We start from the raw sequence: 23,930 nt of genomic DNA on the forward strand, positions 1-23,930 counted from the left end.
TATATATCTGTTTTGGTACCACTACCATGCTGTTTTGGTTGCTGTAGCCTTGTAGTCTAGTTTGAAGTCAGGTGGCGTGATGCCTCCAGCTTTGTTCTTTTTGCTTAGAATTGTTTTGGCTATGTGGGCTCTTTTCTGGTTCCACATGAAGATTAAAGTAGTTTTTTTCCAATTCAGTGAAGAAAGTCAATGGTAGCTTGATGGGGATTGCATTGAATCTATAAATTACTTTGGGCAGTATGGCCATTTTCATGATATTGATTCTTCCTATCCATGAGCATGGAATGTTTTTCCATTTGTTTGTGTCCTCTCTTATTTTCTTGAGCAGTGGTTTGTAGTTCGCCTCAAAGAGGTTCTTCACATCCCTTGTAAGTTGTATTTCTAGTTATTTTATTCTCTTAGTAGCAATTGTGAATGGGAGTTCACTCATGATTAGGCTCTCTGTTTGTCTGTGATTGGTGTATAGGAATGCTTGTGATTTTTGCACATTGATTTGGTATCCTGAGACTTTGCTGAGGTTTCTTATCAGCTTAAGGAGATTTTGGGCTGAGATGATGGGGTTTTCTAAATATACAATCATGTCATCTGCAAACAGAGACAATTGAACTTCTCTTTTCCTATTTGAATACCGTTTATTTCTTTCTTTTGCCTGATTGCCCTGGCCAGAACTTCCAATACTATGTTGAATAGAAGTGGTGAGAGAGGGCATCCTTGTCTTGTGCCAGTTTTCAAAGGAATGCTTCCAGCTTTTGCCCATTCAGTATGATATTGGCTATGGGTTTGTCATAAATAGCTCTTATCAACCATACCACCCTAAATGCAGCCGATTTCTTCTGATCTCAGAAGCTAAGCAGGGTTGGGCCTGGTTAGAACTTGGCTGAAAGACCACCTGGGAATACCGGGTGCTGTATTTCATTTGTTTTAAGAATTTTTTTACTTGCTTCCTAATTATTTAATTTACCTAATGGTCATTCCGGAACATATTGTAAAATTTTCATGTATTTGTATAGTTTCCAAAGTTCTTTTTAATATTGATTTCTAGTTTCATTCCACTGTGGTTTGAGAAGATACTTGATATAATTTGGATTTTTAAAAACTGATTGAGACTTGTTTTGTGGCCTAACATATGGTCTACCCTGAAGAATGTACCATGTGCTGGTAAAAAGAATGTGTATTCTGCAGTTGTTAAATGAAATGTCCTGTATACGTTATAGGTCCATCTATTGTATTAGAGTTATCTCTCCCTTTAAATCTGATAATATTTGTTTTATACATCTGGGTGATCTGATGTTCAGTGTATAAACACACAAAGACACCCAAATCTTTCTTTTTCTTTCTCTCTTTCTTTCTCTTTCTTTCTTTCTTTCATCTATTTATCATCTCACCCTACATACATATATATGTATATATGTGTACCCAATTCTTTATTCTATATATGTAGATATTATTATTATATTCTCTTGTTTTATCTTACATAAGTACAGCTATTCCTGTTTGCTTTTTGTTTCTGTTTACATGGAATATTTTTTTTCCATTTCTTTTCTTGCCATCTATGTGCGTCTTTACAGGTGAGGTAAAGTTTCTTGTAGGCAGCATAGAGTTGGGTTGTGCTTTTTTTAAAATCCATTCAGCCAGTCTATACCTTTCGAGTGGAAAGTTCAATCTATTTATGTTCAAGGTTATTGAAATGTAAGGACTTATTCCTATTCTTTTGTTACTTGTTTTCTGTGTCTGTGTGTGTTCCCTTTGTTTTTTCTTTCTCTCTTATTTTTTTCATTTTAGTTTGATGGTTTTCTGTAGAGGTAATATTTTAGTTCTTTCTCTTTCTTATTTGCTTGTTTACTCTACCAGTAGGTTTCATATTTTCATGTGTTTTTATGATGGTATCATTGTTTTACATACCCTTTGTTTCTTTCTTTCTCTCTTATTGTTTATCATTGTGGTTTGGTGGTTTTCTGTAGTGGTAACATTTGGACTTTTACCTATTTGTGTGTTTGTTCTACCAGTGGGTCTTATTCTTTCATGTTTTTATGATGATATTGTCCTTTTGCTTCCAGGTGTAGGACTCCCTTCTGCATTTCTTATAGGGCACATCTAGTGATAAATTCCCTCAGCTTTTGATCATCTTGGAAATACTTTATTTCTCCTTCATTTATGAAGGATAATTTTAGTTATAGTATCCTAGATTAGCAGGGCTTTTTTCTTTCAGCACTTTGTATATATTGTTCTATTCTCTTCTGGCCCATAAGGTTTCTGCTAAGAGATTTGCTATTAGTCAGATGGAGGTTCCCTTATAATTGACTAGATGCTTTTCTCTTGCTGTTTTTTAAAAATATCTGTTTTGACTTTTGATATTTTAACCATAACGTGCCATGGAGAAGACATTTTTGGGTTGTATGTATTTGGGGATCTCTGAGTTCCCTGTATCGGTATGCTATATGTCTAACTCTCTTGCCAGACCTGGGAAGTTTTTGGCTATTATTTTATTATATAGGTTTTCTATCTCATTGGTTTTCTCTTTGCCTTCTGGAACACCAAATAGTTAAACATTTCACCATATTGTGGTATTCCATATGTCATGTAAGCTTTGTTAATTTTTTTATTGTTCTTTTTTCTTTATTTTTGTCTAACTGGGTTATTTCAAAAGGCCATCTTCAAGTTCTGAGAGTCTTTCTTCTACTTGACCTAGTCTACTGTTGAAGCTCTTTTATGTATTTTTTATTTCATTCAATGAATTATTCAGTTTCAGAATAATTTCCATTTGATTCTTTTTTTATATGTATCTCTTTGGTAAATTTCTCATTTATACCCTGATATGTTTTTCTGATTCTTTATATTACTTATCTGTGTTCTCTTTTATCTCATTGGGCTTCTTTAATATCATTATTTTGAATTATTTTTCTGGCATTTCAAAAATTTTTTCCATTGGAATCTTTTGCTAGAGAATTATTGTGTTTCTTTGGAGGTGTCATGTTTCCTTGTTTTTTTCATGTTTCTGTGCCCTTATATTGATATATGTGCATTGGGTGTAGTAGTTGCTTTTTGTAGATTTTTGGATTTGCTTTCATAGGGGAGGACTTTCTTCTGGAGATATATTTATAGTGTTGGTTAGGTAGGGCACTTTGGCTTTGATTCTGAGTGTGCGTAGTAGTAGTATAGTTCTTGGATAATTTCTTTGGCTGTAAACAGTGTCTGTGTTGTCTGTGATTGCCTCAGTAGGTTAGGGTGCAGTTGTGAGTGCAGGCTGTGGTAAAGTTTTTCTGGGGAGAGGGATGTCAGATGAACCAGTCCTCAGGCCCCAGTGGTGACAGCAATAGGCCAAGCATGCTTATCCTTTGACCCCAGGGTGGTATGCACCAGCACCATTGTTAGCACATCCAGATAGGCCAATTATTGAACCTCCAGGTGGCTTGCTTGGGTACTAACTGTGGCAGTGGTGGGCCAGGTGGGTGGGCAGGTCTTCAGGTCTCTGGGAAGTAGGTGTGGCATGGACAATGGCAGGACAACCCTCTGGTTCCCATGTGGTCCATGGTGGTGTTGGCAGTGGCTGTGATGGACTGAGCATTTGTACTCTTTTGTCTTGTGTTGGTATCAGTGTGATAGTGGCCCTTTGTGCTGCCTTGTCAGGTCCTAGGGTTCTATCGACTATAATTTCCAGAAAAGCAGAGTTTTGGTATCCTGCTTACTGTGCCAAAACTGTGACGGCCAAAGGAAAACTTCCCCTTCGTCCTCTGAAGGTTGGTTGAAAAATCAACTGGATATGCAGTACCATGTTCCCAGGAACTGATCCTTGTTTTCTTTTGGTTCTGTAGATTGAACAATATCAGTGTTTGGCTACCCATCTATCTTTCCTTCAGTGACACCGTGTTCTATCAACTATCTCTGTAGCTCTTTTCAATTTAGGTCCCTCTAGCTATGTGTTATATCCTGTAAGCTACCTGGCTGTGCTCTATTGTATATACTAAATGACATGACTTGTGCCCCCCATATTCATAGGTAGAAGGCTTAATCCACAATGTGACTGTATTTGAAGATAGGACTTTTGGGTAGTAACTAAAGTTGAATTATTTCATAAAGGTGGGGGCTCTAACCTAATAGTTAGTGTCCTCTTAAAAAGGAAGAGATACCAGAGATCTCTCCACCCCCTACCCCATGTGCACATAGAGGAAAGGCCATGTGAAGACACAGTGAGAAGGTGGCTATCTGCAAGCAGGAAGAAAGCCCTCACCAGACACTGAATTTGTTGGCTCCTTGATCATGGACTTCTAGCCTCCAGAACTGTGAGGAAATACATTTCTGTTGTTTAAGCCCCACAGCCTGTGATATTTTGTGACAGCAGCTTGAGCAGACAAATCCACTACTATTCTGACTGCTGCTCATTATGCCTGCCTTGCTCTTGAAAGTTAAGTCCTGCCTCCCTGTCACTACTATTTTGGGATCCCATCTTTCCATTATTATTAGTGAGCCCAGTGTCTCCTGCCATCAGCCCTGTCCTCCAAGTAGAGCACCATCAAGCTCTCAATGATGCCTGTTCCTTTTTCACCTGTGCAGCCCTCCTGCTTTGATAAACCATGTTCTCTGTGCTCTCCCACAGAATGTGATCACTCTTTTTTCCCCTGAACTTACATGGTGTGTCCACCTTACCTGTCCACTTCTCTGAGCCTTTTATCCCTTTTCCATCATCTGCCATGGCAACTCTGGTATATAAGTTAGCCATATAAATTTACTTGATTCCTACTGTCATCTAACTCATCCGTGTTAGAGTCCTATGTAGTTTACTACTGTTGAACAGACATTTCAACACTTCCTCCTTATGACTTGCCTTCCTTTAAAATCAAACTTTTATGTAGAACTTTCTCATACATCCTGTCCTCACGGTAGCTATTCATACTTATTGAGTTGCATGTTAACCCTCAGAGGCCCCATGAGAGGATGTATTAGTTACTTAGGACTGCCTTATCAAACTACCACAAACTGGGTGGCTTAAAACAACTGTCATTGTTTTCTTCACAGTTCAGAAGGCTAAAAGTCCCAAATCAAGGTATTGGCAAGACCATGCTCCTGTTGAAACCTGTAGGGAAATCCTTCCTTGCCTCCTTCTATTGACAGTGATTTGCTATCAATCTTTGGCATTCCTCGGCTTGCAGCTGCCTACTCCAGTCTCTGCTTTCATCATCATACGGTGTTTTCCCTATGTGTCTTTCTCTCTTTCCATCAACTTCTTTATAAGGACACTAGTCAAATTGGGTTAGGGGCTCACCCTGCTTCAGTAGGACCTCACTTCAATTACATCCATAGTAAACCTCCTTTCACATACGGTCACATTCTGAGGTACTGGGAGTCAGGACTTCAAGATATCTTTTCAGGGGAAAGGTACATAATTCAACCTATAACAAGAGGGAACTGGTAAAGAAGATTTAATTAGATCTGACTCTAAACTGTAACTTCCATCCCCGCCACCCCCTCCCTCCCCCCACACATTTCAAAATAAAGCACTCTATTTTTATTCAATTTACATATTGGGGTTTTGCCCAAGCATTTATTTGAAGAAAAGATTCCTAAAAAGAAAATTAATGAGCCAAATAATCTTCCTGATTCACCAATAAAATCTCTTATTTAACAACTCAGAAACTGAGATCATATGACCTAGTTTAAATCCCAATTTAACCAGTTATTGCTTTTTGAACATGAGAAAGTTACCTAAGTTTTCTAGAACTCACTTTCTTATTTGTAAAGTGGCATAACTATTATCTACTTCAGAGGGTTGCTATAAGTATTTAAGTATTTATACAATGAGATAATTTAAGTAAAGTGCTTAGCACTGTATCCAGCTCACAAAAGCCATTTGCTCTTTTTTTTAATTTTCTTTTTTTAGTTTTAATTTTTTGGGTACATAGTTGGTGTATATCTTTATGGGTCACATGAGATATTTCGATATAGGCATGGAATGCATAATATTCACATTACGATAAATGGTATATCCATCATCTCAAGTATTTATCTTTTATGTTAAAAACAATCCAATTATAGTCTTTTATTTATTTTAAAATGTACAATTAAATCTTTGTTTACTATAGTCATCCTGTTGTGCTAGCAAATACTAGGTCTTATTCATTCTTCCTAACTATTTTTTTGTACCCATTAACCATCCATCACTTCCTTCCCACCAATCCCCCACTACCCTTCCTAACCTCTGGTTACCATCCTTCTACTCTCTATCTCCATGAGTTCAATTATTTTAATGGTTATTTCCCACAAATAAGTGAGAACATGTGAAGTTTCTCTTTCTGTGCCTATCTTATTTCACTTAACATAATGACCTTCAGTTCCATCCATGTTGTTGCAAATGATGGGATCTAATTCTTCTTTATGACCGAATAGTACTCATTGTGTTGATGTATCACATTTTCTTTATCCATTCATCTGTTTATAGACACTTAGGTTGCTTCCAAATCTTGGCTATTGTGAATAATGCTGCAACAAACATGGGAGTGCAGATATCTCTTTAACGTACTGATTTCCTTTCTTTTGGGTATCTACCTAGGAGTGGGATTGCTGGATCATATAAATTACCATTAGCTATTAATATTTTATTTTCCCAATGTTGAAATATGTGATCAATAGGAATAAACTACAGAGAACTCTGACAAAAATGGGTTAGGTGGCATAACAGAGTCAAGCAAATGTATGTGGGTAACTTAAAAATTGAATCAGACTAACAACATGAGAGTATCTGACACAAAAAAAGGAATTCACAAGCTTTGTAAGCCAAAGTCGCACACACTGGCTCACTCTACTCCTGCAGTCAAAGCTGCCCACCAAATGCTATAAAACACTGGAAAGGTATTGGAAGCAAATGGGAAATCACCCTTGCTCCCATGTAAGGAAAGCCTCCTACTTACCTCTAAAGAGGAAATGGCAAAGAAGTGAGAAGATAATCAAAGCCCAAAGCCAGCACTAAGGTGAGGCAAGGGAGGTGCTTAGGGCACAGAGTTTAAAGAGGAGCTCACTCTCAGGGTCTGCAAGTACCAACCCTGCATCTGTAGGATGCTAGAGTGAGTGCCTCCTTACGTGTGGGCACCATGAGGCCAGGAAGTCTTCTAAAAGGAAGGAGAATTTACCCAGTCTAAGAGAAAACTGACATTCTAGGAAAGACAGTGGTGCAGCAGTTGAAAAGTTGATTCAGTAGACAACAAGCAAGTTTGTATGTTTGAAAAAAAAAAGATTTTTTCTGGGAAACCATAAGTCTGAAAAAGCAGGTTGGGTCTGGGGTAGAGTACCTTTGAATGTCATTTTTATTATTCTTGATTTGATGCACATTTTTGTAAATAAAGTTTTAAATTTTTGTAAATAAAGGAACCCATGCCCACTTGTCTAAATGTGATCTATGGCTGTTTTCACATTATAACAGCAGAGTCCAGTAGTTGCACCAGGGACAGGTAAGGCCCTCAGGTCATTTCCAAAAAGAGTTTACTGGCCTCTGCTCTAAGTAACTGAAAGATGCCAGCTTATTTCTTATTTGCAGAATAATATATAATAATGACAGAAAATTATACTCAATTAAAATTTCATGAATTTCAAATTGTATTGATAAAATAAATCCAAGAACAAAGACAATAAATGGTAAGATTTTTTTATTTAGAAGTACAGCAGAAACAGCAGAATTTTCTTTATATGTCTTGCAGAGGTCTGGCCTTTGGGGGCGGGGCTAGGGTCTAGATTATTTGCCATAGAAAAGTGATACATTTTAAGTGAAAAATAAATGCTGTACAGAGGACACTAGTCATTGAGGAATAGAATGATTCCAAGACTTGGTGGAGTTCCTTTGTTTTGTACTGAAAGCACAGGGACTTTAGGAATATGTTACCTAACCTGGCAACTTAATCCTTTCCCTGCTGCTTCTAAAAGTCAGTTTTCTTCTTAGCTTGAATTAGGCCATGGTAACAAAAACAAAGGCTTTACCTTGAGGTTCTGTAGGTAAAGCAGAGCTGAGTTATGTGACAAGGCTAACTAGGTAATTATGTGTTTTGTCTTCCAAGGTTTTCTCCTGACACCAGCAATAAGGGTGGAATTGACTCAAAAGAGAGATGTGATTGAAAGGGATTACATTTCTTTTCTAAACACAGAATTCATTTATTTAAAAATGAATAAAATCTTCAAAGTTAGTGTACATTTTGTTTTCTTTAAATCCTCAACCCATAATTGCAAGCAAACACAAAACAAAACAAGGGGAAATCAGCAAAAGAAAAAAATCTAAACATGACCAACAGTGCAATTTGTATTTTCTCAAGTCCCAAACTTGGTGTGAAGATAAACTCATGATCTCTAAACAACTCTAATAATTATAATAAACTAATAAGCTCCAAAGTCGGATTATAAAAGGATAAAGCATTGGAAATCTACTTTTCAAAAAAAATTAAATATAAATTGGTACTAAAGGAAATAGTGATAACAATGAAGCTTGCTTTAAAATCAGTTTGGTGTATATTTTTCTTATTACAAAATATTACATATTTCATTTAAAAGTATTTGTTTAAAGTACAGATAACCAAAAACAAAGAAACTGTAATTTCACAGTGTAAGTCTACAACTTATAGATAACCACACCTGACATTGTGCCTGCCACTCACTGAGAAGAATATGGAATAAAAAATTACAGAAAAATATGAGAGTGAAAAACTGGAAACAATCTCACGTCAAACACTAAGGAATGAAAGATTGAGTCAATGTGACATATCTGAAGTACATAAAGTTATGCCTATATTATAGCCATTTTTTCAAGAAATCTTAGTGGTATTGGCAAATTTTCACAATATAAAATAAATGTAAAAAACCTGATACAAATTTGCATATATAATTTGCATATACAATTTGTATTATAGGTTGAATTGTGTCCCCTAAAATTCACATTGACATCCTAACCCTCAGAACCTCCGAATGTGAGCTTATTTGGAAATAAGGTTGTTGTAAATGTCATTGGTTAAGATGATGTGATACTGGGGTAGGGTGGGCCACTAATTCAATATGACTAGTTTACTTACAAAAAGGGGAAATCTGGGTGGGCATGGTGGCTCATGCCTGTAATATCAGCATTTTGGGAAACTGAGGTGGGTAGATGGCTTGAGCCCAGGAGTTTGAGACCAGCCTAGGCAACATGTCAAAACCTAATCTCTACAAAAACACAAAAATTAGCCAGGCATGGTAGGGTGCTCCTGCAGTTCCAGCTACTCAGGGGGCTGAGGTGGGAGGATCACTTGAGCTTGAGAGGTCAAGCTGCAGTGAGGCGTGATTGTGCCACTGCACTCTGGTCAACAGAGTGAGATCCTGTCTCAATAAAAAGTGGGGTGGTGAACCTGGAGGCAGATACCCACACAGGAAGAAACCTATGAAGGCAGAGATCAAGACAATGCTTCTCTGCACCAAGGAACACAAAGACTGCGAGCAAACCACCAGGAGCTAAGGGAGAGACCTAGAACAGCCCTCAGAAGAAACCAGCCTTACAGACACCTTGATTTTGGGCTTCTAACCTCTAGAACCTCTAGAACTGTGAGACAGTAAATTTCTCAAAGTTGTTTAAGCTACTCCACAGCTGCAGGAAACTAATACATATAGTATCAATTGAATTTTGCTATGAAGTCCTGTGTGTGTGTGTGTGTGTGTGTGTGTGTGTGTATGATTTTCTCAGTGACTCTTTCTGGTCACTTCTTCCCTGGTGACTCTATGTACAATTTTTATCAAATATATGGTCTTCAATATATGTATCTGTCTTAAATATATATATATATATATATAATATATATATATATATATATTATATATATATATATTTTAATTGTTTTGGGGGAACAGGTGATTTCTGATTACATGGATAAGTTCTTCAGTGGTGATTTCCAAGATTTTGGTGCATTCATCACCCAAGCAGTGTACACTGTACACAATGTGTAGTCTTTTATCCTCACCTCTTCCACCCTTCCCTCCAAGTCCCGAAAGTCCATTATATCATTCTTATACTTTTGTGTCCTCGCAGCTTACCTTTCCACTTGTAAATGGGAACATACAATATTTGATTTTCCATTTCTGAGTTCCTTCACTTAGAATAATGGTCTCCAACTGCATCCAGGTTGCTGTGAATACCATTATTTTATTCCTTTTTATGGCTGAGTAGTATTCCATGGTATGTATATACTATACTTTCTTTGTTTTTCTTTTTTTTTTTTTTTTTAGATGGAGTCTGGCTCTGTCTCCCAGGCTGGAGTCCCGTGGCTTGATCTCAGTTCACTGCAAGCTCCGCCTCCTGGGTTCCCGCCATTCTCCTGCTTCAGCCTCCCGAGTAGCTGGGACTACAGGTGCCCACCACCACGCCCAGCTAATTTTTTTTTTTTTTTTTTTGTATTTTTTAGTAGAGACGGAGTTTCACCATGTTATCCAGTATGGTCTCGATCTCCTGACCTCGTGATCTGCCTGCCTTAGGCTCCCAAAGTGCTGGGATTACAGGCATGAGCCACCGTGCCCGGCCACCACACTTTCTTTATCTAGTTTTTGGTTGATGGGCATTTAGGCTGGTTCCATATTTTTGCAATTGCCAATTGTGCTGCTGTCAACATGCATGTTTAAGTGTATTTTCCTTATAATGACTTCTTTTCCTCTGGGTAGATACCGAGTAGTGGGATTTCTAGATCAAATGGTAGTTTTACTTTTAGTTCTTTAAGGAATCTCCATCCTGTTTTCCATAGTGGTTGTACTAGTTTACATTCCCATCAACAGTGTAAAACTGCTCCCTTTTCACCACATCCATGCCAACTTCTATGTTTTAAAAAATTATTTAATATGAGCTATTCTTGCAGGAGTAAGGTGGTATCTCATTGTGGTTTTGATCTGCGTTTCCCTGACAATTAGTGATGTTGAGCATCTTTTCATGTTTGTTGGCCATTTGTGTATCTTCTTTTGATAACTGTCTATTCAAGTCCTTTGCCCACTTTTTAATGAGATTATTGGCCTTTTTCTTGCTGATTTGTTTGAGTTTCTTGTAGATTTTGGATATTAGTCCTTTGTCAGATGCATAGTTTGTGAAGATTTTCTCTCATGCCATGGGTTGTCTGTTTACTCTGCTGATTATTTCTTTTGCTGTGCAGAAGCTTTTTAGTTTAATTAGGTCCCATCTAGTTATTTTTGTCTTTTGTTGCATTTGCTTCTGGGTTCTTGGTCATGAAGTCTTCGCTTAAGCCAAGATCTAGAAAAATTTTTCCTATGTTGTCTTCTAGAATTTTTATGGTTTCAAGTCTTAGATTCAAGTCTCTGATCCATCTTGAGTTGATTTTTTTATATGATGAGAATTAGGATCCAGTTTCATTCTTCTAAATGTGGCTTGCCAACTATCCCAGCACCATTTTTTGAATAGGGTGTCTTTTCCCCACTTTATGTTTTTGTTTGCTTTGTTGAAGATCAGTTGGCTGTAAGTATTTGGTTTTATTTCTGTGTTCTCTATTCTGTTCCATTTGTCTACATGCCTATTTTTATACCAGTACCATGCTGCTTTGGTAGCTATAGCCTTGTAGTTTTGCTTGAAGTTGGGCAATATGATGCCTCCAGATTTGTTGTTTTCACTTAGTCTTGCTTTGGCTATGTGGGCTCTTTTTTGGTTCCATATGAATTTTAGGATTCAACATCGTATATATTTTATAAATTTATCTTTTCCATTGCTTTTTCCCTATTGGACTGTAAACCCCACAGAAGCAGGGATTTTTACCTTTTCATTCTGTGATGTTTCTGTGTACTTAGAACAGTGCCACAGGATAGAGATAGACACTCCAAAAATATTCAATAAACAAGTAAATGAATGGAAAATAATTTAAATAAGAAATAAACTATAATGTTAAAATAGTTTTCTCTGGGTAGTGAGATTGAGATTTATTGGTTTGAGGGTTTTCAAATGATCTACATATAATATTATTGTAATCACAGAAAAATAACATTTTTAAAAAGCAAAGTAGAGAAAGTGAATAATGTAAAAGGTTAGAACAAAAGTCATCAGTTTCATTATACTTGCACATTTTTTATGCCTAACTGTGCAACACAGTATTAAGAAATAGTTTTGTCAGTTGTCCTATTATTTGCACTGAAGCAGCTTATGTATTTACATGTTACCAAATTCTAGAAGTGCAAAGGGTACCCATTTTTGTAAGGAAGCTATGGAGAACAGTTATTTCAAAAAATTAAATTGACTTTCGGAATTAAAGCCCTGTTGCATTCATCACATCATGTAATTGTCATTCTTAATCTGATGGGGCTATAGAATCCCACATTTCTACACCTGGTTTACTAGTAACCCATGTGTACAAATTCTTCTGTGATCCACATGCCCACTCACCTAGGAAAGCTCCCTGCTGTTGGCATGGAGCCACCAATGTGCCGGGCACTGAGCCAGGTACTTAGTCTACACTGAGAGATGTTCACTCATCCTCTGGAACGAATCAGAATAGGCCAGGATTACTACACAGATAATCACTAAACAGAGAAGTGTGTGTGTTAAACAGTCCAAGAAAGACACAAACAAAAGTATTTTTTAGGCAGAGGCAGCAATCAGGGAGATCAGACAAATACTTTATGATATCCCCCACTCAGAGTACCTCAGAGGCTTTCCACCACCTTCCAGAAGCCAGTATGGCATTCAAGGAAATATATTCTCTGATCTCATCCAACCTTCCCACTATTATCTCTTCTAAGTAGGTTCCCTGTTGCTCTAGCCATGCAGTCTGTTTTCTATCCCACTCCTGAATTTTCTCTGACCCCAGTTTTATTTATTGTACCCTCTTTTCCTCAGAAGTAAAATTATGCTTGTCCGATAATGCACTTGATGTAGGGGTTGAGAAATGAATTGCTATGCTCATGGCCTTCCTGCCAGGGCCTGATCGTTCCTTTCTCCCTTTTGCTTCAAAGTCAAAGGCAGATAAAGCCCTGGGAAGGTGGAGTAACATGATCTCCCTTCAGGGCTGCCACGGCGGGAGGTTGAATGCCTGAGCATTCCCTCTGAAGAGGATGGGTTGCTGGTCGCACATTGAAGTGCAGGAAAGATCCTTCCCTGAGAGGACCCATTCTTCAAGGTTCTGTCCAGAAGGAACCTCCTTCTCGAAGTCTTCTACAGTCACACCAGTCAGAAGTGACTCCTTCTCTGGGCTCCTCTTAGGTCTCTGTACAAACCATCTAGACTAAATTGGCTTGTGCAGACCTTTGTATCCTACTGAACAGTAAGTTCCTTGAGGCTAATGACATGTTTATACACTTAGTGTTTTCCTTTCTACCTAGAACAACACCTTCTCTGCCTAAGAAATCTTTAGGGTAGGAATGAGTGGCCATTTTTTGGTTATAGGGGAAGGAGTTATTTGGTGTCACCATTTAGAATTATTTGGTTTTACAAAACAGAAATCCTCTGAAAGAAACTCATAAAAAGGCAGTCTTTTAGAAGGATACAAGGGCATCTCATGGAACTTAATTGTGGCATTGCAGTCTGGGTTTAGGGAAGTGTGAATGTCTCCAGTCACCTCCTGTCTGCATTCCCCTCTTCCTGGCACTGTGTGGTCCTCTCCAGTCCATCTGTCTGTCTGTTCTGTTTTCTGTTGACCCCTCTCAAGGCTGTTTCTGCTTCCCCATACTTCAGATGACATGCAATATTACCTTGTTGTGAAGCAAACTCTGGCCTCAGTTCAATGTGGTCTTTTAAATCAGGACTCACCATCATCCTACTAACTACAATTTTTGTTAAGTCTTTAAAAATTCTCAAGGGAAAGAACATGGCTGGCATTGGCTAACCAGGGTCAGATTAAGACACTTAGAGATATCAAAGCACTAAAAAGATTGTGTTCCACATATACTGTAAAATCAAAATTTTACAATAATTCTAAGCAATTAAATAAGTGTAAGAAAGTCCACTTTAGTCTGATTTTTTTCCCCTAATGACTACTTTGATTTTTTTAAACATCCTAGTAATAAATATTATCAAAGGAAATTTGGGGTTTCCTCAATTTTTCCAGTGCATCAATCATTACCTATTTGGTAATCTGACTTGGGGCCACCCAGGGGATTATCTTCCCCAGGAGAGGTGATATGGTTTGGCCCCCACCCAAATCTCATCTTTAATTGTAACTCACACAATTCCCACATGTCATGGGAGGAAGCTGTTGGGAGGTGATTGAATCATGAGGGCGGGTCTTTCCCATGCTGTTCTGGTGATAGTGAGTGGGTCTCATGAGATCTGATGGCTTTAACAATGGGAGTTTTCCTGTGCAAGCTGTCTTCTCTTGTCAGCCTCCATGTGAAACATGCCTTTCACCTTCTGCCATGATTATGAGGGCTCCCCAGCCATGTGGAACTGTAAGTCCAATAAACCTCTTTCTTTTGTAAATTGCCCAGGCTCAGGTATGTCTTTATCAGCAGTGTGAAAAAGAACAAATAGAGTAAATTGGTACCAGTAGAGTGGGGTGCTGCTGAAAAGATACCCAAAAACGTGGAAGCAACTTTGAAACTGGATAACAGGCAGAGATTGGAACAGTTTGGAGGGCTCAGAAGAAGACAGGGAAATGTGGGAAAGTTTGGAACTTCCTAGAGACTTGTTGAATGGCTTTGACTGAAAGCCTGATAGCGATGTGGACAATAAGGTCTAGGTGGAGGTCGTCTCAGATGGAGATGAGGAATTTATTGGTAACTGGGGCAAAGGTGACTCTTGTAATGTTTTAGCAAAGAGACTGGTGGCATTTTGCCCCTGCCCTAGAGATTTGTGGAACTTTGAACTTGAGAGAGATGACTTAGGGTATCTGGTAGAAGAAATTTCTAAGCAGCAAAGCATTCAAGAGGTGATGTACCTGTCTTTTATATTTGGGTCTAGAGGTCAGAGAAAGAAGTCGGATATTTTGAGGCATAAGAAAGCCTCCGTTATTAGAGGGAGCCACATGGTATGGAAAGGAATGCAAGCAGCCTCTAGGAGATAAGAGCAGCCCCAGCTGACAGCCAGCAAGCAAACGAGAACCTCAGTCTTACAACCACAAATACAGTTCACCCTCGAATAACACAGCTTGAACTGTGCAGGTCCATTTATATCCGATTTTTTTTTTCAATAACTGTACTAGAACATGTTGTGGAGATTTGCAACAATTTGAAAAAATTCCCAGATGAACTGCATAGCCTGAAATATCGAAAAAAATAAAAAGTTAGGTATGCATGGCTGTATAAAATATATACAGATACCAGCCTATTTTATCATTTACTACCATAAAGTATACACAAACCTATTATAAAAAGTTGAAATTTATCAAAACTTACACAAATACTTACAGATAATATACGATGCCATTTGCAGTTGAGAGAAATGTAAAAAACATAAAGATGCAGTATTAAAGCATCACTGCATAAAATTAACTGTAGTAAATGCTGTACTTCTGTAATAATTTTGTAGCCACCTCCTGTTGCTATTGTGGTACGCTCAAGTGTTGCAAGTATCCACTTAAAGTGCCATGTGACACTAATCATCTTGTAAGCAGTTCATCTCTCCAGTAAATTGCACATAATAGTAAAAAGTGACCTCTCATGGTTCTTACATAGTTTTCATTGTGTTTAGTGCAGTACTGTAAACCTTGAATAACACGACGGAACCCATCTGAAGTGCAACTAGTGATGCTAGAAGTGTACCCAAGAGGCAGAGAAAAGTCATAACGTTACAAAACAAAGTTGAATTGCTTGATATGTACCACAGATTGAGGTCTCCAGCTGCAGTTCCCTGCCATTTCAAGATAAATGAATCCAGCATAGGAACTACTGAAAAAAAAAAAAAAAGAAAGAAAGAAAACAGAGAGAGAGAGGACATTTGGGAAGGCATTGCTGGCTTTGCCAGCAGGTGCAAAAATGTTGTAGTTTTTACAAAATGCCTTTTAATCTTGTATTGAAAATGCAGCTTTTATGTGGGTGCAAGATTGGAATAATAAAGGCATACCTGTAGGCTCGAATATGATTCAAGGAAAAACCAAGTCATTATGTGACAACTTAAAGCACAATGAAAGTGAAAGATCTAAAGCTAGAAAGAGGTTTGGCTTTAAAAATGTTAAGATAACAGGAGAAGCAGCTTTGCCTACCAGGAGGCAGTAGACAACTGTTCAGATGCAATTAAGAAGAACATTGAGAAGGAATATCTTCCTAAACAGGTTTTTAATGCACACTAATGGGCCCCATTCTGGAAAAAAAAATGCTACAAAATACATTTATTAGTAAAAAAGAGAGGCAAGCACCAGGAGTTGAGGCAGGAAAGGGTAGGTTAATGCTACTGTTTTTTGCAAATGCAGTCGGGCTTATTATCAGGACTGCCCTTATCTATAAGGGTTTTGCTTATCACGAAGCCTGAGGAAAGAAGATAAACATCAGCTGCAAGTCTTTTGCTTGTACAAGAAGAAGGCTGGAAAATGAGAAACATTTTCCTGGTTTGGTTCCGTAGATGCTTTGTCCCTGATGTCAGAAGAACCTTGCCAATAAAAAACTGCCTTTAATTTTTTATATATATATATATATATGACTATATATATATGACTATATATGACTATATATATGACTATATATGACTATATATGACTATATATAACTATATATATGACTATATATAACTATATATGACTATATATAACTATATATATGACTATAGATAACTATATATGACTATATATATAACTATATATGACTATATATGACATCATATATATTATTATATATATAGTATACATAATATATGTATGTTATTATTATATATATATATATATTAGACAATGCTCCTGGCCACTCAGAACCCATGAGTTCAACACCAAAAGCGTCAAAGTGATCTACTTGCCCCCAGACATAGCATCTCTAATTCAGCCTCCAGATCAGGGGGTTATTAGGACCTGTAAGGCTCACACACGTGGTTCTGTATAGAAAGGATTGTGAATGCTAGGGAAGAGAACCCCGATAAAGAGAACATCATTAAAGTTTGGAAGGATTGCACCATTAAAAATGTCATCATTGTTATAGAAAAAAACGTGAAAGCCACATGGCCCGAAACAATAAATTTCTGCTGGAGAAAACCATGTCCAGATGCTGCGCATGACTTCACAGGATTTACAGAGCCAATCAAGCAAATCATGAAGAGTATGTGGGTATGGCAAAAGAAGGTGGGAGGCAAAGGGTTTCAGGATATGAATCTTGGAGAAATTCAAGAGATAATAGACAACATACTAAAGGAAATCACAGAAGTCAACCTGATAGAGATGAGTACTTCTGAATCAGGGCCAATGAGGAAGAGGACATAGAAGCAGTAGTGCCAGAAAGCAAATTGACATTAGAAAATCCATCAGAAGGGTTCTGATTATTCAGGACTGCTTTTGACTTCTTTTATGACATGGACCTTTCTATGATATGGGCACTGAAACGAAAGCAAGCTGTAGAAGGATTGGTACTACATAGAAACTCAGAGAAATAAGGCAAAAAATTCAGACAGAAATTACCATGTATTCCCGTAACGTGACACCAAGTATGCCTGCCTCTCCTACCTCCCCTTTCACTTCCCCCACCTCTTCCGCCTCTGCCACCCTTGAGCCAGCAAGACCAACCTTTCCTCTTCCTCCTCTTCTTCAGCCTACTCAACATGATGATGATGAGGATGAAGACCTTTATGACAGTCCATTCTCACTTAATTAATAGTAAATATATTTTCTCTTCCTTATAATTTTCTTAATATCATTTTCTTTTCTTTAGCTTACCTTATTTTAAGAAAACTGTATATAATACATATAATATACAAATTCCATATTAATCAGCTATCTATGTTATCAGTAAGGCTTTCAGTCAAGAGTAGTCTATCAGTGGTAAGTTTTAGGGGAGTCAAAAGAGATATATGATTTTTTTTTACTATGCAGGGAGTCAGTGCCACAACTCCCATGTTGTTTAAGGGTCAACTGTAACTGAATTTGGCCAAAGACCTTGGAAGCAAGCTCTTCCTAGGACACTGGAAGACCTTGAGCCTCCCATTGAGAACTCAACCCACCCAACACATTTATTTTAGCCTTTTGATACCCTGAACTGAGAACAATGGTATGCCATACCTGTTTTAAAATGATACATTTGTGGTAACTTTTTACACAGCAATATAAAACTAATACAAAAATACTATAAAGATTGAGAATCATGACACTAGACAAAGGAGATTGGTTCCAGGATGCAGTGAACAAGTGCTTCTGCTTGCTCCCCATTCATTTCTCCTTTTTCTTAATGGTTATCCTTGAACACCTGCCTTTCCTCCTCTGTTAGTCTGATTGGTATGAGGTTGTCCCCTGCCAAGCCCCACCTTCACCTCCAGAAGTGAGCATATTACCCAGGTTCAGCAAAAAGGATTCGATTTTGGAGTTTCCTTTGGAACTACCGGGAAAGAGAAGATCATTCAAAGGATGAATAAATCTATCTTGGGAAAGTAGAGACTAAGAGATGGAGAGAGTCCTAATCCTGATGATATGGTTTGCCCCAATATCCAATCATACCAAAAAGTAGAATCCCAGTACTATTCAGTTATGTAAGCCAATATATTTCCTTTTTTGCTTAAGTCAATTTTGAGATATCACTTGCAAGCCAAAGAAGCCTTGAAAAATCATAGCATATAACATTATAGCTTAAAAAAAGTAAACCCTACATTCTCTAGTGTACAAGTATCTGAAAGAACAACATAAACCACAGTTCAAAATTAAAGATAAGCACTCTGACTTCTGTTACATAGAAGACTATAATATTTAAACATCACTTCCTCATGGAAGCCTTAGCTGACGCCTCTGTTGGCTCAGGTATACCTTTTATATTCTCTCTTGGGACTTACACTTCCCCCTCCAGAGCACAATGCACTTATAATCAAATATTTGTTTATGTAATTGCCTATTTGATGTCTGTTTTCCTTAGCAGTCCCATGAGGACAAGCATTGTGGCTTATCACTGTATCCCTGGGGCTGCCACAATATAGGTGCCCAGTTGTATTACTGGTTGAATGAATGATTACAAGGACCTTAGCATGACTAAAGTTCATAAAGGAATAATATCTTTTTGCCTATTTGAAAGAATTCCCGTATCATATATGTGCTTGAAGTATAAATCCAGTTGCTTTTATTGTAAGTAAATTTGATTTCATCACCATTCTTAAGATAATCTAACACCAATTAGCTTCAGATTTCCTTCCATAAAATCAGTTGAAAGTAAGAGCTAACACGTGTAAACCAGTTCACAAATTAGGATGTGCTTTTCATATACGTTAGCTTCCTTAATCCCTACAAGAATCCTGGGACTGAAGAACCAAGGCTCAAGGAGGTGCCTTGTCCAGGGTCCCACGCACACGGTGAGGTGGTGCCAGGGCTAGACTAAATCTAGTGCATTTCTCCTGAAAATAATGAGCATGCAAGTCCACATTAACAAGTTTTTCCTCTTTTTCTTAACCAAGGCATAAGTCATTTTGATATTATTTTAAGCTATATGTGTGTATAATAAATCATATGTAATAAAAAGCTGAATAATGGAGAACACACTGGAATTCAGTTATTCTAAAGGATAGCATTAAACTTTATATTTTAGCCAGATGAGTAAAGCACTCAAGTATGAGTGTGTATGTTGGGGGACACAGGGGTGTATTGCCTTAAAGTGGGAGAAAAAGTCTTCTTACTTGTTGGGACCGCTCAGAATTTCCCAGTTACATCTAGTTTAGCCCTAATAAACAATTTGAGAAGTTTTTTGTTTGTTTGTTTTGCTTTTATAAAAACTAGTATATGCTTATCTGCTATATTATGAGAAAAGTAAATTACCCTTTAGGAAGGAATTACTTTTGGGTAACAAGTCATTGTTTCATTGAAGATGCATGGTTAAAAAAAATCTTTATGGTGGTGGGGCCTGTTTTCTTCCTTTTATAATTGTTATAATCCACCAGAAATAATATATAATTTTGTGTAACTCTACGGCTGTCTCACAGATGGATGGGATAATATGTCTCTGTTTCTCCAACCTTAACCCCAATCCCCTACTTCTGTTTCTCCACTCACTCAAAGTCCCTGTAATTGTCACTTGGTAATGTATATGAGCATGCACGGACAGAGAGGTAACAGGGCATGCTCAAGTTTTCCTGCCAGTGATGTGCATTGCCTCATGTCATAAACAGTAAATCCTTTATGCTGAAAGTCTGTTCATTTTCACACCATTCACTTGTCTGCTAACAGTTGTCCAGATTTTTTAATTCGGCCTCTTACACTAATCCTGCAACTGCTGGTCCTAGACAGGTGCAGGGATCAGACTGGCTCAGTTAAGTAAAACATCTGGCCTGAAAATGATAATAGGCTCTTTTTACTCCCTCCAGCTATAGGAAGAATGTGGAGTTTTCAAATGCTAAATCACACAATTAGGCTTTAATATTCCCTTAAACATACACATCCCAAACACCACCACCAAATGCATAAATGTCCACATTCACATACACAAATAATCACATACACACATGATAAGTAACATTCCACTATTTCTTTTACAAAACAAGACCTCTATTTTTTCATGTGTCTGTTGGCTGCATAAATGTCTTCTTTTGAGAAGTGTCTGTTCATATCCTTTGCCCACTTTTTGATGGGCTTGTTTGATTTTTTTCTTGTAAATTTGTTTAAGTTCTTTGTAGATTCTGGATATTAGCTCTTTGTCAGATGGGTAGATTGTAAAAATTTTCTCCCATTCTATAGGTTGCCTGCTTACTCCGATGGTAGTTTCTTTTGATGTGCAGAAGCTCTTTAGTTTAATTAGATCCCATTTGTCAATTTTGGCTTTTGTTGCCATTGCTTTTGGTGTTTTAGTCATAAAGTCCTTGCCCATGCCTATGTCCTGAATGGTATCGCCTAGGTTTTCTTCTAGGGTTTTTATGGTTTTAGGTCTAACATTTAAGTCTTTAATCCATCTTGAATTGATTTTTTATAAGGTGTAAGGAAGGGATCCAGTTTCAGCTTTCTACATATGGCTAGCCAGTTTTCCCAGCACCATTTATTAAATAGGGAATCCTTTCCCCATTTCTTGTTTTTGTCAGGGTTGTCAAAGATCAGATGGTTGTAGATGTGTGGCATTATTTCCAGGGGCTCTATTCTGTTCCATTGGTCTATATCTCTGTTTTGGTACCAGTACCATGCTGTTTTGGTTGCTGTAGCCTTGTAGTATAGTTTGAAGTCAGGTAGCGTGATGTCTCCAACTTTGTTCCTTTGGCTTAGGATTGTCTTGGCAATGCGGGCTCTTTTTTGGTTCTATATGAACTTTAAAGTAGTTTTTTTTTCCAATTCTGAGAAGAAAGTCATTGGTAACTTGATGGGGATGGCACTGAATCTATAAATTACCTTGGGCAGTATGGCCATTTTAACAATATTGATTCTTCCTATTCATAAGCATGGAATGTTGTTTCATTTGTTTGTGTCCTCTTTTATTTCGTTGAGCAGTGGTTTGTAGTTCTCCTTGAAGAGGTCCTTCACATCCTTTGTGAGTTGGATTCCTAGGTATTTTATTCAGAAATGCAAATCAATACCACAATGAGATACCATCTCACACCAGTTAGCATGGCAATCATTAAAAAGTCAGGAAACAACAGGTGCTGGAGAGGATGTGGAGAAATAGGAATGCTTTTACATTGTTGGGGGATTGTAAACTAGTTCAACCATTGTGGAAGACAGTGTGGCGATTCCTCAAGGATCTGGAACTAGAAATGCCATTTGATCCAGCCATCCCATTACTGGGTATATGCCCAAAGGATTATAAATCATGCTGCTATAAAGACACAGGTACACATATCATATGTTTATTGCAGCACTATTCACAATAGCAAAGACTTGGAACCAATCCAAATGTCCATCAATGATAGACTGGATTAAGAAAATGTGGCACATATACACCATGGAATACCATGCAACCATAAAAATGGATGACTTCGTGTCCTTTATAGGGACATGGATGAAGCTGGAAACCATCATTCTCAGCAATCTATCACAAGGACAGAAAACCAAACACCTCATGTTCTCACTCATAGGTGGGAATTGAACAATGAGAACACTTAGACACAGGGTGGGGAACATCACACACCAGGGCCTGTCATGGGGTAGGGGAAGGGGAGAGGGATAGCATTAGGAGATATACCTAATGTAAATGACAACTTAACGGGTGCAGCACACCATCATGGCACATGTAATCTCCACGATGTGCACATGTACTCTAGAACTTGAAGTATAATAATAATAAAAAAATAAAAATAAAACAAGACCTGTAAAGAGTAAGAGCCTGGGAAACATGAGGATCTGACTCTGACAATCCCCTTTGTTTCTGGGTTTCAACAGGTATTGGTGGTGGAGCTCTCAGGCCTAAAGGTAACTTTTTGCAGGAAGCACATCATGAGCTTCCATGACATTCTCAGGTTTTATGACTTCATGAGTTCAAAGCAAATTATAGATGATTCAAGGTGAGAAAGATGATACCTGGGGATGGGATTATTTCATGGAAGGCTTTTAGCCTCATCTATCCATTTTAGAATCTAGTCATAGACAGGGACTGGATATGATAAACTACCAACATTTATGAGTCCTCTCAGCTCTAAATATATGGTGATTTTATGATCCCCACATATGTGTGGTGGCAGATATGCCGTCCAGTTCTCAAAAGGAATATATAAGTATTACAAGGATTCTTGATTTTCAACAAAGCTGAGAAACTCTCCAGAAAACCCACTATCAGTTGGCATCCCCTAGTGTATTTTGAGGGGCTGAAGAAAATTTCTGCATTCATGGCCAGAGCCACCCATCAGAATTTTTACCTCTATTTTGCCTAGTGAAGAATATTGCTTTTATAAACCCAGGTCAGCTAAGTTTAATGAGGCTCAACTATCACAGAAAGATTGGATATGGAACTAAAACGAAAGCCTTGACCAGTAGTAAAAGCTGAAAAAGTAAATTTGCTCAGGGCTGGTGATATTGCCTAGCTATGTCCCCACCCAAATCTCATCTTGAATTATAGTTCATGTGTCATGGGAGGGACCTGGTGGGAGGTAATTGAATCATGGGGGCGATTGCACTCATGCTGTTCTCATGATACTGAACGAGTCTCATGAGATCTGATGGTTTTATAAGGGGCTTTTCCCCTCCTAGCTCTCATTCTTCTTTCTGCTGCCATGTGAAGAAGGATGTGTTTTCTCCCCCTTCTACCATGATTGTAAGTTTCCTAAGGCCTCCCCAGCTCTGTGGAACTGTAAGTCAATTAAAACTCTTTCCTTTATAAATTACCCAGTCTCAGGTAAGTCTTTATTGGCAGCATGAGAATGGAGTAACCCAGCTGGCCTTCCTGCCACCAAGGACTGGTACATAGTGATGAGGCCCAGTGCAAAATTAAAATGCAGGAACTCTTGTTCAAAAGTTATTAAGAATTTCAAGATGGCAATAGCAGAACATGAAACCAAGGATGAAGCCATTCTAAACACAGGGTTTTGTGGGACTGCAAAGGTCACATGGCGATGAAGCCAGTATTGTGCCACCTGCAATCTCACAGCTATGCTTTGAGCTATGCACTTTGAGGCAATGAGAGTGACTTGTTCATCCCTGGATCCTCAGTGTTACTAAGCACAGTCTCTGCACCACTCTCATTCTTTGTAAATAAGGGATGGGTTAGGCATGAATAAGGAGCTTGGATTTTATTTGTTAAGTAGTGGGACAGCGATTCTGGAGGGCAGGTAGAAACTTTTTGTTACAGTCAATGACAGTGAATCTCAAAGTATGGCCCTTGAACCAGCAACCTTGGCATCACCTAAGAATTTGATAGAGATGTAAATTAACTGGTCTTACTCAGACCTACAGAATCAGAACCTCTGTAGATAGGACCCAAAAATCTGTTTTGAC

At 38.0% G+C, this 23,930-nt stretch overlaps 1 pseudogene, besides 1 other annotated feature; it reads left to right on the forward strand.

Moving 5' to 3' along the window:
- Nucleotides 796-913, forward strand: RNA5SP214 (RNA, 5S ribosomal pseudogene 214; annotated as a pseudogene).
- Nucleotides 12,686-13,234: an enhancer, noted in NCBI's record as "OCT4-NANOG hESC enhancer chr6:117393735-117394283 (GRCh37/hg19 assembly coordinates)". NCBI's record gives its function as "activates a minimal SCP1, AML or CMV promoter by ChIP-STARR-seq in naive H9 embryonic stem cells {active_cell/tissue: H9 hESC(naive)}" and the evidence as "EXISTENCE:reporter gene assay evidence [ECO:0000049][PMID:30033119]".

Source organism: Homo sapiens, chromosome 6 (assembly GCF_000001405.40).
Source record: "Homo sapiens chromosome 6, GRCh38.p14 Primary Assembly".
Classification (NCBI taxonomy): domain Eukaryota; kingdom Metazoa; phylum Chordata; class Mammalia; order Primates; family Hominidae; genus Homo; species Homo sapiens.